The following is a 19,711-nucleotide window of genomic DNA, read 5'->3' as shown; positions in this document are numbered from 1 at the left end:
TGCCCAGTTCTAGCCTTACCTGTGTCCTTAGAAGTCCTGGAACCTATCAAACCCCTTCTGTTTCAAGGACTTTGTGATTGCTTGACCCTGCCTCTGGCTTGTGGCTTCTGCAACTTTTCATATGATTTATTTCTTTTCATACAACCACATCTTCCTTAGTCACCTATGTCAAGCAGGACTCCCCTGATTACTTTCCGCTGTGTAGCTTTGTGTACTTCCTTCATAATACTGTTCAGTTTGTTAATTTACACGTTATTGCCAATCTCTTCCACCAGATGTGTGCTTCATAAAGTCAAAGACAATATCTATCTCACGAGGTTTGGTCATTTACAAAAAAGAAAAACACAGCGTCTGATTATGCACATCATTGCACATATTAGTTGCTAAGTAAATGTTTGTTGATGTCTTACAGAGCAGACTCCCTACATGAATTTTTTACTAAAAACAAAACAGGAATCCTTGTAACCTTTCCTTTTAAAATGGGTTTTTTATTTCCATATTTTCATAGCAACATACCCAGTTACACATCATAAGTATTAATCATGACAAATGATCTTTTGTTATGGAAATAGAATTGATATGGTCCAAGGAATTAAAGGTAGATGCCTTTGATGCTGTGTATATAGTGATGACTCTTACAAAAGAAATGTATTAGTCCATTGCTTACTTGATACAACGTAAGCAAACATTTTCAGAAAGGGGTCTTTGCTAGATAAAGGCCTCAGTGTTCAGAGCCTCGTTTTCCAAATGGAGAAGAAAGTACTATAAAATTGAATTTTATTCATGCTTCAGAGAGAAATGAAATCTCTCCATCATGAAAAATGGGTATCAGGTGCTTTTGATTTCCTTTTATCAGCTGCTAATCAGAAGAGATGAGGAGAGAGAAGCAAGCTAATGAAGAAACCAGTCGTTTCAAAGACAGTTGTATTGTAGGAATCTTTGTGATTGTTAATTAGATGATGGCCTTGGGAAATACATTGTGAGGGAGAGAAATGGAGGAGGAATTTGAATATTGCAAAGCCTCTCCCGAGATGGAAAGCATCTAAATGTGTTTGTGTTAAAATATTTTGAGTCATAAGACTACATTTTGAATAAGACATAGTGTTTCAAAGACACTAGAGGACCTTTTACCTCATAGATTCTGTATACATTAGTAATGATTTATATCTATACAGTAGTAATTATTCATATAATCTCTTAGCATGACTAATTTGGAAACACATTGCAGTGCACATTTGTAATTTTGGGAAGCTACCAAATATCTACAATCTCTTTTCTAGCTGGGAGAACTTGTTTTGGGAGACTGCAGAAGCCAAAAATGCCATACACTGTCAACTTTCTTGGTAGCTAGGGCACAGACATGTGGCCTGGGCTTGGGAAATCAGATAAACCTACTCTAGACTATAATGTAAAGAAGTGGAGCAGGAGAGAATCCATTTTATTGGTGGAGGTGGTATCAATTGGGACCATAGGGATGGTAGGAACTATCATCAGTACTCATGGTGGTTACAGTGTAAGCGATCATGGCCCTTAATAGCACATATGTATCCTCATTGGGCAGGTTGGGGTGGAATTCTAGTCATAGAATCTACTGCTGCTGTAGCTTCTTTTGGTCCTTCCTTATTCTTTAGGCAACACTGTGAGCTATCTGTTATCCTTTCAATAAATTTCATAAATTACTTTATTCTTCCAGAAAGCAAGGTAACTTTTGGTTGCTTATACATAAAAACCATGACTAACTCACTCCAACAGAAAATGCTAACCATTTTGAGTACCATATAATGAGTAGTTGTATTTCGTCAAATACATAGTGCTTTATACAATTATGTTGCCCAGTACCACCCAAATATTGAGAGGATTTATTTAGAAGGATTTAAAAGTTTTGTTGCATTGGCTTTCCAATTCTTCTTTTATTAATTTAAAAAATCATTACTATAATTTTAAAATTAGAGCCTCCTTCGTCAATGTTATGCTTCATGCTGTCTGTTTAAAATGATGTCACTTTTATCTTAAAGCAGAGTTGTGTTAAATAGAATTAGACTATTTAACAATATTTCTGTTGAGTCTGATCATACTGCTTGTACGTGTTAGGAGGTGTCAGGGAGGCAAACATTTGCTGCCACCAAGAGAGTAGTAATTTCCCTCTGGTAGAATGTTTAGGCCATAAATGAAAAAGGGTGATGCACTCAATAACTGAAGATCTATGTGGCTCAACAACAATTTATTTACTTAAAATATTTTATTGGATATTTACTAAACAGCCAGGATCTATAAAACACTGAGAAGTCAGAACTGAATAATGTTTGGATAATTTGTCTTAATGAAATGCAGCTTTTAAGAGCTGATAACGTAAGGCAGTGACGCTCAAAATCTGGCCTGAGGACGTGTGCCATCTGCAAACTGAGTGTTACTGGTCAGCAAGGAGATATGGAACTTGGGCTACCATGTAAATCATTCAACACCCTGTCCAGTCCAGTTAAACTGTAGTCCAGCTGATGCTTCTCTCACATAAGACTTTCCTGATGAAGGAAGCAATGAATTGATTTACATCCTTGTGCGGATTCCTTGTCTTGTCATGGATCAGAACAAACAGTTTGTATACTGGCTACTTTTTGTAGCAATAATTTAGTGGGTAATAAATATTATAAAAGGCAGGAAATACATGTGATTACATCAATCTATGGAACAGCAATAATATGACTTCCCATTAACATTCATTTCAAAACAAGCATTTAAATTAGTACTTATTTCAGAACCCTCATTTATCGTCTGCTTTCCATGAGTGAGCCCTGGACAGGTGCTATGTACAAAACAGTTTTCTGTATTTTGTCAGATCTTAAATAATCATTGTCATCAGGATTTTTCAACCTCATAAGTGGGAAAAGGCATAAAACCAATTGTATACATTCAAATATCAGATATGTTTTATAAGAATTATAGATTATTAGAAAGTTCTGTCTCTATATTATTTTAAATGAATACTGGATAAGTTGAAGGTTATATTTTTATCTGAATTGTGTGTGTGTGAATTATGTATGTGAGTTGGTAGCTCTCAATGGATATTTCAAAAATTAATTACTGCCAAGTGAGAACTAGTAAGTATTTGAAATAATAATGTCAATGATAATAACAATAGTAAAGTAAGATACTGAGTTTTTTTGTGCACAGCTATGGGGTTATTTCTTAATTGCTTTCATATTATTCATACAAATAAAGCACCAGATCTAAAAAACTAAAATATGTTTTTCAATCACAATAAATTTAAACTAAAGATAACCAAACTAACCTGCGGTAATGGAGGCCAGAAGAGGAGTTAAGTTTGGAGGATACTGGCAGGAACAGGGCACGAGAGAAACTTCTGAGGTGCTGGAAATGTTCTAGGGCTGTGCTGTTCAACATGGCAGCCACTAGCCACTGTGGCTATTTGAAATTGAATTAATTAAATAAGTTTCTCATTCACATTAATGAGATTTGAGGTGCTCATAACACTGTGGCTAATGGCTAATGAATTAGACAGTGCATAATTATGTTTTTTTATGGAACATTTCCAGCATTGCAGAAAATTCTATTGGATGGCACAGCTTTAGATCTTGGTCTGAGTTGTTATGTGGGTGTCCAAATATGCCAATATTCATTGAGCCATACACTTAAGATTTGTGCACTTTACTGTAGTATGTTGTATATATTGTAGTAAGCCATATGTCAATTTGAAGAGTACATTTTTAAAAAGTTAGAGATTTGGATCAGATAGTTGTAGATATGTGGTGTTATTTCTGAGGGCTCTGTTCTGTTCCATTGATCTATATCTCTGTTTTGGTACTAGTACCATGCTGTTTTGGTTACTGTAGCCTTGTAGTATAGTTTGAAGTCAGGTAGCATGATGCCTCCAGCTTTGTTCTTTTGGCTTAGGACTGACTTGGCGATGCATGCTCTTTTTTGGTTCCATATGAACTTTAAAGTAGTTTTTTTCCAATTCTGTGAAGGAAGTCATTGGTAGCTTGATGGGGATGGCATTGAATCTATAAATTACCTTGGGCAGTATGGCCATTTTCATGATATTGATTCTTCCTACCCATGAGCATGGAATGTTCTTCCATTTATTTGTATCCTCTTTTATTTCATTGAGCAGTGGTTTGTAGTTCTCCTTGAAGAGGTCCTTCACGTCCCTTGTAAGTTGGATTCCTAGGTATTTTATTCTCTTTGAAGCAATTGTGAATGGGAGTTCACTCATGATTTGGCTCTCTGTTTATCTGTTATTGGTGTATAAGAATACTTGTGATTTTTGTGCATTGATTTTGTATCCTGGGACTTTGCTGAAGTTGCTTATCAGCTTAAGGAGATTTTGGGCTGAGACGATGGGGTTTTCTAGATATACAATCATGTCATCTGCAAACAGGGACAATTTGACTTCCTCTTTTCCTAATTGAATACCCTTTATTTCCTTCTCCTGCCTAATTGCCCTGGCCAGAACTTCCAACACTATGTTGAATAGGAGTGGTGAGAGAGGGCATCCCTGTCTTGTGCCAGTTTTCAAAGGGAATGCTTCCAGTTTTTGCCCATTCAGTATGATATTGGCTGTGGGTTTTTCATAGATAGCTCTTATTATTTTGAAATACGTCCCATCAATACCTAATTTATTGAGAGTTTTTAGCATGAAGGTTTGTTGAATTTTGTCAAAGGCCTTTTCTGCATCTATTGAGATAATCATGTGGTTTTTGTCTTTGGCTCTGTTTATATGCTGGATTACATTTATTGATTTGCGTATATTGAACCAGCCTTGCATCCCAGGGATGAAGCACACTTGATCGTGGTGGATAAGCTTTTTGATGTGCTGCTGGATTCGGTTTGCCAGTATTTTACTGAGGATTTTTGCATCAATGTTCATCAAGGATATTGGTCTAAGATTCTCTTTTTTGGTTGTGTCTCTGCCCGGCTTTGGTATCAGGATGATGCTGGCCTCATAAAATGAGTTAGGGAGGATTCCCTCTTTTTCTATTGACTGGAATAGTTTCAGAAGGAATGGTACCAGTTCCTCCTTGTGCCTCTGGTAGAATTCGGCTGTGAATCCATCTGGTCCTGGACTCTTTTTAGTTGGTAAGCTATTGATTATTGCCACAATTTCAGCTCCTGTTATTGGTCTATTCAGAGAGTCAACTTCTTCCTGGTTTAGTCTTGGGAGGGTGTACGTGTCGAGGAATTTATCCATTTCTTCTAGATTTTCTAGTTTTTTTGCGTAGAGGTGTTTGTAGTATTCTCTGATGGTAATTTGTATTCCTGTGGGATCGGTGGTGATATCCCCTTTACCATTTTTTATTGCGTCTATTTGATTCTTCTCTCTTTTCTGCTTTGTTAATCTTGCTAGTGGTCTATCAGTTTTGTTGATCCTTTCAAAAAACCAGCTCCTGGATTCATCAATTTTTTGAAGGGTTTTTCGTGTCTCTATTTCCTTCAGTTCTGCTCTGATTTTAGTTATTTCTTGCATTCTGCTAGCTTTTGAATGTGTTTGCTCTTGCTTTTGGTACTGTTGGCTTTTCTGGTTCAGCTCAAGGAATGTCTGTGCGGTTCCTGTGGCAGCCACTAGCCACTGTGGCTATTTGAAATTGAATTAATTAAATAAGTTTCTCATTCACATTAATGAGATTTGAGGTGCTCATAACACTGTGGCTAATGGCTAATGAATTAGTGCATAATTATCTTTTTTTATGGAACATTTCCAGCATTGCAGAAAATTCTATTGGATGGCACGGCTTTAGATCTTGGTCTGAGTTGTTGTTACATGGGTGTCCAAATATGCCAATATTCATTGAGCCATACACTTAAGATTTGTGCACTTTACTGTAGTATGTTGTATATATTGTAGTAAGCCATATGTCAATTTGAAGAATACATTTTTAAAAAGTTAGAGATTTGGTACTGTTGGCTTTTCTGGTTCAGCTCGAGGAATGTCTGTGCGGTTTCTGGACAAGAAAGCCTGGGCAGGGATGTAGGTGATAGAGAAAAGATGCGTTCCAAGACCTGCACTGCCATGATGGAGGCAGCCCTCAATGGGAAAGCGCCTTAAGAGACAGGTGTCCAGGGTGTGTGGGGCAGGGCAGGGCTATGGCTGTATGAAGTCTATCAGCCAAAAGGGAAGTGTCTGGGAAGTTTGTCCTTTGGATAACAAATAAAAGGCTATCTCAGTCTTTGGAAGATCATTACCAGATAAGAGAAGATTTTATTCTCTGTATGGGAGATGAGAAAGTTTTGGGAACATTTTTTATTAACATTGGGTTTTCTCTGAGTCATTTTTTAAAACTTTCTTCTCTTTGATGCATATCCTCTCTTGATTACTGATTTTTAGGGGAGAAAAAGCTGAGGCCACAAGTACTGAGAAAACAATATATATTCCACCAAACTGGATTCATATTTCTCTTTTTTTTTAGTTGTTACATTGGCATTCCCCCTTCTTTTATTATCTCATTTTTCTTTTCAGATTTAGAGGATTTAGGCAGAATTAACTCATTTTTCTGTTCTTCATTCATTTAAAACGTTACTACATAAAATGTGATCCATGGAGTGGCAGCATTGGTATCACCAAAAGCATGTTAAAATGCAGATTTTTGGGTCCTACCCCAGACCTACAAAGCTAGAACCTGCCTTTCACCAAGGCATTCATGTACACATTACAGGTAAAGAGGCACTAGTGTAGAAGTGTAAGATCAACGCATGAAAATAATATAGAGTACCCAGAATATTGCAACACTAATAAATTAGGTTAATCATTTTGTAACCCATTCATTAGCCAAGATGAGTTATAGGTATTAAATTGACCACCTATTATTTGCTTAATTTAATAGCTGTAAAGGATTTTTTCCTTTTTGTGGCCCTTTTCATTTCACAAACTGAGTCACCAATGTCACAGTTCTACAAGCTTGTTCTAAGAGGATGAACTGTGACATTGGTGATATGTCGAATGTGATTCATATATTAAAAGCAAAAATTGCTTTTTGATGTGGTGTCACTCACAGCAAAAATGACATTAAAAAAAGATAAATGCACCATTTTCAGCTTTTGACTAAATGATGGCAATTTAGTAAGAAATAACTTGATACTGACAACTTTCAATTAATCGCTAAGATTGAAAGAAGAAAAAGAATGAATGAGCCCCAATGTCAGGTAATTAATATTACTTATAGTTAGCTTTGTAATATATGTTCTGTTTACTTTTGACTGGGGATGGCTTCATCTCAAATCAAATACTAAGAACATACTCTGAAAATGGGACTTGGAAAGAGTGAAGTGTCTGTCTACTGTCCTCTCTCTATCCCCATTCTCCTGTTGTTAAAATTTTTTCAGCAGTTTATACCATGGGCAACCTAAACCACTCATTTCCCAAGATGCTTCTCAGTATAGTTAAAATGAGCTGATTTTGCTGAAACCACAGAGCAGGAACCAAATCATAGTAGCATGAAAAACAAAACTTGAAATTTGAGAGTGATGTGGAAACAAAACAAGAAACCATGCTGAGGGCTGTGGGTGTGTCAACCATTACCCCAAAGGCAAGAGGAGATAGGCTGAAGTCACAGCATGCATGACCTTGAGCTGGTGTGGAACATCATTCAAGCTGGTGGTTGACCACACACATCTCATTCATGTGAAGTTCTGCTGTGATGCTGTTTCTTCAGGGAGATAATCCCAAGGGTCTGCCAATTGTCTATTCAATCCACAATCCCCCATTTAGTCAATAATTGCTGATGTTTATTCCAAGCTCTTACTTTGTTAATATTTTAACTCATTTATCCACTTACTAAACTTATTTTAAAGGTCTGTGAAGACTGGGAATGCCAATGTCATCAGAAAAGTCTTTGTTTATAATGAGCTTAAATGATCTAGCTCTTACATTAGGAGCACAAGCCAGTTTTGCCAGTTGAATGAGCTATTAGGCATAAATTATTTGTTCTAGAAGAAGCCATATTGCTTACTTGGGTTTTTGTTTATACTTAATGAACTGATGTTTCAGGACTTTGTATTAATCTTTAGGCTCTGTATTAATTTCCTGTGACCACTGTAACCAATTACCTCAAACATGGTGGCTTAAAACAGTTGACATCTATTCTCTCAGTCTGGGGGCCAGAAATCTGAAGTTATTATCAATGACCTAAAAATAAGGTATCTACAGGGACCCACTTCCTCCAGAGGCCATAGGAGACCATCTGTTCCTTGCTTCTTCCAGCTTCTGGTGGATTCCAGCATTCTTTGGCTTGTGGCCACATCCTGCAGTCTTCAAGGCCAGCATCTTCAAATCCCTCTCTTCACATTGCTATCTCCTCTGTGTGTCATTTCACCCTGTCTCTCTGTTGTAAGGATATATATGATGGTATTTAGGGTACACCTGGATAATCCAGGATTATCTCCACATCTCAAGATCCTGAGCTTAATCACACTTGCAAAGTTTTTGCCATGTAAGGTAAAACTTATGCGTTCCAGGAATGAGGACGTGGATATCTTTTGAGGGGCCATTTTCAGCTCACCACAGACTTCAAAGAATTAGGGCATTTCCCTTGAAATATTTACTTACTCTTTAAGAATAGATATTGTTTCTAGCACATTGTTGTTCCACAAAGCATCATGGACCCTACCCAACATAGAAATGTCACTGATAACTAGCAAAAAATATGAGCAAATCATAAGCACAATCTCAGTATTCCAACGTCTATTTCTGAAGGGGCCTTGCACCTCTGATACACTTCCTAAAGATCCCCTTTTCTGCACTGGGATGCATTTTGGTTTAGGAGTCACTGACAGGCATTACCTAAGAGTCTGATACAAGTTAGTTCAGTTTAAGCCATTTAGATTTAGGGCTTTTCAGGGTTGTTTTTGTTTGTTTGTTTGTTTTGTTTTGTTTTGTTTCGTTTGTTTTTTTTTGGCTTGTTTGCTTGTTTTGAGACAGAGTCTTGCTCTATCTGTCACCCATGCTGGAGTGCAGTGGCACAATAATGGCTCACTTCAGATTCAACCTCCTGGGCTCAAGTGATTCTCCCATCTCAGCTTCCCAGGTAGCTTGGGCTACAGGTGTTCAAGACCATGCCTGGCTAATTTTTTTATTATTTTCGTAGAGTCGATGTCTCCCTGTGTTACCCAGGCTGGTCTCAAACTCCTGGGCTCAAGCGATCCTCCTGCCTCAGCTTCCCAAGGCGCTGGGATAACAGGCATAAGCCACCATGCCTGGCCAGTTTTTTATACTTTATTAGTCACACAGGTAGGGAGCCTACATGACTAAAGTCCATTCTCCAGCAGACTATGTCTCATAAATTCCAGCTAATTACCTGAAGCAATCAAGGCAGACCAGGAATAACCTGCTAAAACCTTAGAGAAGTTTCTGGGTTATCGTCCTGTTAGTAAATCCCATCACAGTGTTTACAAGATCTGTTCTTGTCTAGGTCAATGCATCCTCAGGGACATCCCAAGGAGGGAAAGAACAAGTGACAGATCCACTGTTAATTCTTTTTCCTACACGTGAATTATGTTTTAGGCATGTTTGAGGAATGTTTGCTTATGACTGTACCCAGATATTGGTGGAACTTTTGAGGCCTTACCATTTGGAGATCAAGTATGTAGATAAATCCAGATAACCAATTTTTTTTAGGTCCATCCTGAAATGATAGAGAGAGAGTTTTCTGCAACAGGAATATAGGGAAAACAGCAGAAATGAAAGAGGACTATGTAACAGCAAAGGTTGTGAGTGGAATGTCTGCAGTTTGAACAGAAATTGGTATATTTGCTTATACTGAAGATGCCTAAGGGACTTCAGCTAAGAGAGTGATCATCAGTGTGTATAATTTATTTATAGGATATTTAGATGCTTTTATTGCACAAGATTAAAACAATTAAAGCCCACTTCCATCTGATTAATGAGAAAGTGACTTGGGTGAAATAATGGGGCTCTTATTTTTATTACAGGCCGATCTGCTTCAGTTTCATAGTTAACCTTTGTATGGAGACAATAATAAAAGTAAGACAATTTTCTTTCACTTTTTATTTGGCTTTTGCATAGAAGAAGCAGTGTACACTTGGCACCTGATATTTACAGTGCCATCTGTCTGTTGATTTTCTTGCTGTGCACAGATTCACAGTAACATTGGGGTGGGGGGAGGATCCTTATTTGAATCTTCTCTAAGAAGGTCAGCTCTGTGTGGCACCTGGATACCCTTGGGTGGTGAGGGTTGGATAGCACATGACCTTATTCAGCTCTCCCTGCTCTGTGCCTTAAGAAAATCTGTTCACCTTGGGACCACCGTTAGCGTCCAACCTCCATTTATCTTTCTAAGGTAGGGTTTAAAGTAAGGACACAAAGGCAAGATCCCTGAGTAGCTACTTCCAAGGGTAGCCTGATATTTTTCCAAGTATTGCTTTCAAGACAGGAAAGAGGGAGGAGTTTTTTTTTTTCTCTGCTAGATCATTGGGATCCTTCTTAGTGTTGCTTGAAGAAGTGGATGTATCAAAGATTCCATGCAAGACCTCGAGAGATCCCCAGGTCTTAACTAAGTTAGTTACCTTATCACTTCCCTAACAAAGACCTTTGCCCTTAGCAACTGTCCTCATGATAGAGCCTAACATTTTCTGAAGCACGTTAGGGTTTTTAAATCAGTGTTACAGATGTTGTCACATTTTCTCCTCAGAATAACCCTCTGAAGTAGTCTGGACAGGTATTAATCTTTAATTTATAGATGAAAAAATTGAGGCTAAAAGGGGTCAAGTAGCTTGCCAAAGTCATATCATTCTTAACCAAGAGAGTGGAGACTTGAGCTCATTCCTCCGAAAGCTTAATCCAAAAGCAATATTGAGCTCATTCCTCCGAAAGCTTATTCCAAAAGCGTTATTGCTAACCGTGCTAGACATACTTAGATTCCTCCCGGGACTGTGTGTATAATGTAATTGAGTGAGATTGGCTGGGATAAGAAAAATAACGGTGGGCTCAAGGGTAATCTAAAGGAGTGTGCACAATTCATTAAGGTATTGGATTGTCTTGTTCCCTTCTTATTTCCCTTCTTCTTGTGTTTCTTCCCTCTTTTCTTCCTTTCTCTCTCTATTCTCTGTAAGCAAACGGAAGCTTTACTGGGTCTCATGGAGCCATAAATTTGTCACTCCTGTCTTTCAACTTTGCAGACAATTTAAAAAGTAAAGTGCACAAATCTTGTAAATTATAATTGTCCAGCAGATGACTTTGCATAGATAAGGTTAACTTAGAGGCAATTGATGGGGTAGAGTTTGACAGTGCATTCTGTGATAGGTATGTCTAAGGTGACAGAGAAAAGATTTTGATGGGTCAGCCCAAGACTTTGTGTTGGTTCAGTTGCAGAAGGCTGAGCTGTATGGCACCTGAGAGACCATCTAGTTAAACCCTTTCATTTCCAATCATTTCAGAGAGCATGTGTGCCCTATCAGTTATCTACTGCTGCAGTCATGCTGCATAACAAACAACTACAAAACCTCAGAGGCATATTGCCATGAATGTTTATTGCTCATTGATCTTGAATCAGCTCTTATGATCTTGGCTTAGCTAGGTTCACTTGCATTTCTGTACTTGGCTGGCTGTTGGCTGATTGAGGCTGGCCTCCGCTCAAAAGACTGGGGCAACTCGAATCTGCTCTGTCTCTCATCTTCCAGCAGGCTAGCCAAGGTACGTTCTCAAGTTCAGGGCAGTGGTGCAAGAGCACAAGAGAAAACACATAGGTCTCTCAAGATGTAGTCTTAGAGGACAAATACGTTGCTCAGTCTGTTGGCCAAAGCAAGTCACACGGGGTAGAGAAGTATAACTACCTTTTGGGGAGCCACTGCAATGTTACATGGCAAAAGGTATAGGTAAAAGGAGGGTGAATGATGGAGGCATTACCAAATCTACAGGTTACCTAGCAGGTTAGGGATAGCAAAAAGACAGAGCCAGGCCTCTTATTCCACCTCCACACAAATGCCTTTCACATCATTTCTAGAGAATACCAATTTGTCTTAGACATGCCCCACTCCCCAAATAAGCCCCTGGTATTTAGAGCCTTCACATTGCTGCCAGGCTCCCTTCTAATCCTTCGGTTGTGCGAGCACCTTGTTCTCTGCCAGCAGTCAACTAATCCCTGCCAAGGTATTAACACTTAATTAAGGTGTTTGCTGTTAAAGTCCAGTAGTGGCTCCGACATTTTTCCACCAAAGAACGCTTTTAATTCCTTTTCCCTATAGACTCCACATTTGGAAATTTCTTTGTACCAGAGTTCTTAATAATTATTTCTCCCTCTAAAATATGAAATATGTGCAACTGCCAAATATAGCTTCTGGTTGGCATGAGATACTGAACTGAGCATGAAAAGCTAGACAGAAGCAAAGACTTTGACTGCTTCAGTGACGACCTGTGTTTTCATGGGTCGATGTCCAAGTTTGATTAGGCCTTTTGACCCTCACTTTTATCTTAACTGATTCCAAATTGAGAATCATGGTGAGAAGATATGCTTCTATCTTGAGCATTTTCTTGTAACTGGACTTTTCTGAGAACAAAACATACTTCCCTTCTATCCTCCAGTCAGTCTTGTATTCTCTCAAATTATGCTTGGAAAATTATTGATTATTCAAAAAAGTTTGATTATTCAGTCACACTCAGGTCACTAATCTGACCCCTGAGAAAAAGTTGGGGCAGAGGTACAGGTTCATATCGAAAATTGATGTCATTTAGCTTTTGGAAAAGACTATTTAAAAATCAAAAGAAAGTATAGCATAAATTAAAAATGGCACTGTCCCTTGGGCAGGTAATTTAGTGTACCTGTTTCTGAATTTCTGGTGATTTGAAATTCAACTCCCATAACATAAACTAAGGATGATATTAGAAGAGCCAGCAATTTCAGTATAGTAATATATTTCACAAACATGAGTTGCACTCCAAATGCATGCAAGTTTCTTGTTATCTCTGTATAACAAGAGAGATTAAATACAGAGATCATTTTACGCAGCTGGAATGTTTGGTTATTTCTATAGCTCTAGCCAAGTAGAGAAGTCAGTGAGCACTTAGAAAATGGTTTCAAGCTGTGATTTAAAAAAAAAAAAAAGAAAGCAAAGAAAGAACTTGTGTTGATTCAACTGCAGAAAGAAAAATGTTTCACTGTGGTGTGGCATCATGATATTTGAGAGACTTTGCATATATTACAGAGTATTGTAAATACTGGATAAAGTACCTGAAGCATTTGTGAAAGGAAGAATAATCCCTGTGTGCTTTTTAAATTTATCATTCACTTATTAAATACAGTAGAGGAGTTAGAGCAGTTGTGTCTAGAAGAACTTTCAGCATTAATGGAAATGTTTATATCTGCACAGACCAGACAGTAGCCATTAGCCTCACGTGGTTATCAAGCACTTGAAATGTTACTATTGCAGCTAAAAAACTGAATGTTTACTCTCCTTAAAAAAATGAACAGCATTATTGCATTGTAACTGACACACACACACACACACACACACAAACTGCCCATATTTAAAGTATGCAATTTGATACATGTTGACATATGTATACAACCATGAAGTCATCAATTTAATCAAGATAGCAAACATCTCCATCACTCTGAAGTTTTATTACAGCCTTTTAAAATTTCTCTCATGCCTTTTCCTGTCTGCCCAACCTCTGTCCCCAGGAAACCACTGATCTTCTTTCTGACACTGTATGTTAAGTTGCATTTCCTAGAATTTTATATAAATGAAATCGTTCAGTATGTTTTTTTCCTCTGGCTTCCTTAACTCAGCATAATTATGCTAAGGTTCATACATGTTGTAGCATGTGTCAATATTTTATTCTATTTATTGTTAAACAGTACTCTATAGTATGAATATAGCACAAGTTGTTTATACATTCACCTGTTGATGGACATTTGTGTGGTTTCCACTTTTTGGCTATTACAAATAAGGTTATTATAAATGTGTATATAAGCCTTTGTATGGGAATATGCTTTTATTTCTCTGGTGTAAATACCTAGGCATGAAATGGCTGGATCATATAGTAGGCATATGTTTAACATTATTAAAAGCTGCCAAACTGTTTTCCAAAGTGGGTTATACAATTTTCCATTCCCACCGAGAATGTGTAAGAGTTCCAGTTCCTCCACATTGTTTTTTTGTTTGTTTGTTTGTTTGTTTTTTGTTTTTGAGACCGAGTCTCACTCTCTGTAACCAGGCTGGAGTACAGTTGTGCGATCTCGGCTCACTGCAACCTCCACCTCCCAGGTTCAAGCAATTCTCCTGCCTCAGCCTCCCAAGTAGCTGGGACTACAGGCACGTGCCACCACACCCAGCTAATTTTTGTATTTTTAGTAAAGATGGGGTTTCACCATGTTGGCCAGGGTGGTCTCGATCTCTTGACCTCATGATCTGCCCACCTCGGCCTCCCAAAGTGCTGGGATTATAGGCATGAGCCACCGTGCCCAGCCCCAGTTCCTCCACATTCTTACTAACACTTGGTATGGTTAATCTTTTAAATTATAGCAATTCTAATAAGAACACAGTGATACTCTATTTTGTTTTCATTTTACATTTTCCTAATGACTAATGATATGGAAAATATTTTATGTGTATAGTTGTCATCTCTAAATATTCATGAAGGGCTATTCATTAAAGGCTTTTCAAAATCTTTTGCCCATTTTTTAGTTGGGTTGCTTGCTTTTTTTTAATTATTACTAATTACTACTGCAATTAAAACATTTTCTCTGTATTTATTCTATCAGTTATTGAGATAGCATTAAATCTTCAATAATAATTGCATATTTGTCTAGTTCTCCTTGTAGTTCTGTCAGCTTTTGCTTTATGTATTTTGAAACTCTGTTTTTAGGCATATAAACATTTAGGATTGTTCAGTCTTGATGAATTCTCTCTTTTATTGTTATGAAATTTATCCTTGGTAATATTGTTTGCTCTGAAATCTATGTTTTATGATATTAATAAGCATTCCAACTTTCTTTTGGTTAGTTCTAGCCTATCCTTTTCCATTGTTTAATTCAATTTATTTGTGTCTATCTATACACTGTGTTCCTTAGAGGCAGCACAGAGTTGAGTCTTGCTTTTTTATCCAATCTGATATCTCTGTCTTTTAATGGGGTGTATAGACCATTTACATTTAATGTGATTATTGATATGGTTCAGTTTATGTCCATCACCTTGCTATGTCTTTTCTATTTGTTCCATCAGGCTTTTTTTTTTGTCTCAAAATATCTTTATTTCACTTTCAATGTTGTAATATATTTTTGTTGGACATAGAACTCTAGATTGATGGGTTTTTTTTCTTTCAGTAAAGATTTAGCTCTACTGTCTTCCTATTTGCACTGTTTCTAATAAGAAATCTGATGGCAACTTTATTTTTCTCTGTTCATATATTTTCCCCCACTGGCTTCTTCTGAGACTTTCTTATTATCACTGTTTTTGAGCAATATAATTATGATGTGTTATAGTGTCATTTTCTTCATGTTTCTTGTGCCTGGAGTTGTGAACATAAAATAACATGGAGACCAGACTTCAGAATTCTCTGAACAGACAAAGCCAATTTGGCCACATAAGCGAAACTTAAAGTTATTTCTTGTAAACACTTCTGATCATCGTAAACCAATCTTAAGTTGCCTTCTAAAGATGGTATAAGATGAGCACTTTCAACCAATCCTCTGTGATCTTGAAACCTTCATGATAATAACCCATCATTTTAAAGGTTAAACAACTTCCCCATTTTTGCTGTGTAAGCCAGCCTGTAACATCATGCCTCTGAGCTTCCTCTTATGACTGGGCTTGAGGTCACTTAGTTCATGAACTATTATTTTATATGCACAATAAACTTAAAAAATTTTTAATTTGATCTGATTTTATTTTTGACAGGATTCACTGGGCTTGTTAAATCTTTAGATACATTATTTTCATTAAGTTTGGAAATTTATTCAACCATTATATCTTCAAATGCCTCTTTTGTCCCTTCCTTTGTATCCTCTTCACTAGAAAATCCACTGACACTTAAATTAGGCTACTTGAAGTTGTTCCACAGGTTGGTCATATGTTGTTCATTTATTTTAGATCATTTCCCTATGTGTTTCATTTTAAATTGTTTCTATTGGCCTGGCGCAGTTGCTCATGCCTGTAATCCCAGAGTTTTGGGATGCCGAGGTGGGTGGATCAGCTGAGGTCGGGAGTTCAAGACCAGGCTGACCAACATAGAGAAACCCCATCTCTACTAAAAATACAAAATTAGCTGGGGGTGAGGGTGCATGCCTGTAATCCCAGCTACTCGGGAGGCTGAGGCAGGAGAATCACTTGAACCTGGGAGTTGGAAGTTGTGGTGAGCCAAGATCATGCCATTGCACTCCAGCCTAGGAAACAAGAGCAAAACTCCATCTCAAAAAAAAAAAAAAAATAGATTGTTTCTATTGCTATGTCTCAAAGTTGTATTTTTAGTAGAGACGGGTTTTTGTCATGTTGGCTGGGCTGGTCTTGAACTACTCCTGACCTTAGGTGATCCACCTACCTCAGCCTCCCAAAGTGCTGGGATTACAGGCATGATCCACTGCGCCTGGCCAGTGGTGGATATTTTTATAGTCCTATCAATATTCTTGAGCTTTGTTTTGAGACACAGTTAAGTTACATGGAAGCTGTTTTTTGTTGTTTTTGTTTCTATTTTTTGTTTTTTTAGTCTTGCTTGAAGATTTCTTCAGTGCAACTAGGGCAGCGCTCAATCTGGGGTAATTATTCCCATCTATTTTGGCAAGACCTTCCTGAGTACTTTACCTAACGTCCACGGATCTTCGGCCTTTCCAGTCTTGCTGATGAAAACAGAAACCATTCCTGGCCTTGTGTGAAGGTTGGCCATGGTAACCTCTAAACGTTTTAGGTGGTTCTTTCCTCAGCCTCAAGTAGTTTCCTCACATGCTTGAATTGATCACTACTCAGTCGAATACTTGAGGGAGACATTGTACAAATCTCTGATTCTCTGGAATTTTTTATTTTTTCCTTTCACTCCTGCCTCACTTTCCCCCTACCCCAGTCTCTCTCCAGCTCTCCCCTCTGGTACTCCGTCTGGAAAACTCCAGCTCCTTTTGTCTCTTTGGTCTCTTAGCTCAGTCAACAAAACTCAGGGAACTGATCTTTTCCTGGGTTCCCCCTCCCTGCACCACATCCTGGAAATTCTTTCTTAGGCCTTGATTTTTTTAATATGAAAAAATGAAAGTGTCTACAACCAATTGGTAGGGTTATTTTAAAGAATGAGATCTGATCTTTAAAGCACATAGCTAGTAAATATTCAATAAATGAAAAATCCTTTTCCTGTACATAGCATTATGTATTCTGTATACTTTCCTCAAGAATAATTTTGACAAATGACAGTTCATTCACCACTTCTGAGTCAGCCACAGGGAAACCTGTTTCTCCCTTTTGTTGTTCTGGGGCTCTTGTATCCCATAGCATCTTCTCTCACCAGTATGGTTGTCCTAGACTGGTTACCTGTCTCTTCCTTCGTTTCTGCAAAACACCTCTAATGCTAGGGGAAATATTTGCTAGACGACTTTATTAAGATTTACAGAGAGTAGTTATTACACACAATGAGAGAAAACTTTTAGATCAGTGTTGGTTATTAACATTTCTGAAAGCATCAGACATTTTTAGCTACAGGGAAATTCTCACTGGCTGTGTGAATTATTAGCAGGTCCTGGGGTTTTTCTCTGACTCCCACCCCGTGGCCTGTGTGTATGTGTGTGTGTGTGTGTGTGTGCATGTGCGCGTGTGTGTCTATCAGTCTTTTTCTCTCTTGCTTTCTTCTTGTATCTTTCTGTGTACATATTTCTCTTTTGTTTCTCCTTCTATTCCCTAATGTCATTTCTGTATCTCTGTCTGTTAGTCTGTCTCTCCCTGTATGTATCCCTTCTCTTATCATTCCCTTTTTGATTTATTTAATTTCCCACTCACCATTACCAAATTCATTTTACTCTTCCATGGAGGCCATCCTAGCTCTTTGACTTTTTCCAAACAGACCTTTGGCCTGCTTTTGCATATACTGACACTCAATATAGAGCTTCTTGTAAACAAAGACCCAAACATTTCCCCAGGTTTTCAACTTTCCTAATACAGAAAGCTGTCAAAAACTTTGAGATTACAACTTTTCTTTTAGCACATCTGAGATCAACTTCAAGCCCACAGTAGAGTTAACAGGATAAATTCACCTATTACCACAGGAAATCTAACAGAAGCTTCCTCAAGACACCTTCTTCTCTATGATGGTCTTTGGAAGGATTTCTACTTCACATTAAAAGGAGAGCATCCTCATGTTAATGACCCAACCTTAGGAAGCCATTTAAAATGTGTTAAAACCAGTGTAGGAACTCTCCACACAGATCATTGTGTTTGGACTTTATTTTTAATTTTTATTTTTACTTTTGTACCGTAGTGGTATGCTTCTGAGCAGAGAATCAGGTCTGGAGAGATGGGTAGAGAAACTTCCTGAATTCTTGCCAGTCTTTCAAATGACCAGCCATCATGGCAGGAACTAAGACGAGTAATGTTGTTTAAAAAGAGAAAGAAAGAGCCAGGTGCGGTGTCTCACACCTCTAATCCCAGCACTTTGGGAGGATGAGGCGGGTGGATCACTTGAGGTCGGGAGTTCAAGACCAGTCTGGCCAATATGGTGAAACCCAGTCTCTACTAAAAACACAAAAATTAGTTGGGTGTGGTGGCACCTGCTTGTAATCTCAGCTACTTAGGAGGCTGAGGCAGGAGAACTGCTTGAACCTGGGAGGCAGAGGTTGCAGTGAACCAAGATTGTGCCACTGCACTCCAGGCTAGGTGACAGAGCAAGACTCTGTCAAAAGATAGAAAGAGAGAAAAAGAGAGAGAGAGAAAGAGAGAGAGAAGAAAGAAAGAAAGAAAGAAAGAAAGAAAGAGAGATTGGTAACTATGTGAGGTGTTGAATATGCTAATTAGCTTGATTATGGTAATTAATTCACAATGTATACATAAATTATCAATTATACCTCAATAAAGCTGAATAAAAGTAATGTATTATCTCATCTCAACATCAATATTCACTGCCTTCAAAGAATTTATCCCAGTGTGTAATTATGCATGCATTTGTTTAATTGATTACAAACTATCTTCCTTACTAAACTATTACTTCTGTGAGGTCAAAAGACCATGTCTGATTTATGCATAATTCACTATCCAGTCCCTAGCCAGTATCTGCCCTTTTAAACACCTGATAAATATTTAAATCTAGTTCTGAGAAAGTAGGTTCTTCCAGACACAAATTAGTGTCCAGTAAAATACAAACAAAGTGTTATGTTTATCAGCTAGTTCCAACAGTATTGGTAAGAGAGAGAAGTTGATGTCTTTTCCAGATTATGCTACTGTTTTAGGGTTTTAAATAATCAAAGATGATAATTGGTGTCTACGCAAGCACCATTTCTTCTCAAATAAGGGAGAATTACAAATCTTAGAGCTAACTGGAAGAAAGCATGTCCAGACAGAGGTCTTACTATTTTGGGGATTTTGTTGGGGTATGATTGAAGAGGATGGAGTGAGAGAAAGAGCAAAACAGGAGACAGATATTGACAGACCAATCCAAGATTAGAGAACCCTTGAACTCCCTATAGCCCTTGGGTAGACAGTTGTGTAGGAAAGGGAAGTGTGTGGGTATGTATGTACCAAGTGGAATTATCAGAGCTATTGGAGGAATCAGATCTACAAG

The 19,711-nt window shown here is 37.9% G+C and overlaps 1 protein-coding gene across 6 annotated transcripts in view; it reads left to right on the top strand.

Moving 5' to 3' along the window:
* Positions 1-19,711, top strand: part of PAK5 (p21 (RAC1) activated kinase 5) — a 301,707-nt gene that overhangs the window by 86,781 nt on the left and 195,215 nt on the right. Inside the window, exon 3 of one of the 6 annotated variants that reach the window (XM_017027962.2) lies at positions 9,940-9,991. The exons of the other annotated variants lie outside the window; for them this stretch is intronic. The gene's annotated coding sequence lies outside the window, so the exon portion shown is untranslated. The remainder of the gene's footprint in view (positions 1-9,939; positions 9,992-19,711) is intronic. 6 annotated transcript variants of the gene reach the window in all.

This window comes from Homo sapiens, chromosome 20, assembly GCF_000001405.40.
Source record: "Homo sapiens chromosome 20, GRCh38.p14 Primary Assembly".
Classification (NCBI taxonomy): Eukaryota; Metazoa; Chordata; class Mammalia; order Primates; family Hominidae; genus Homo; species Homo sapiens.
Note: the sequence above shows the minus strand (reverse complement) of the source record. Positions and strands in the feature narration are given on the sequence as shown.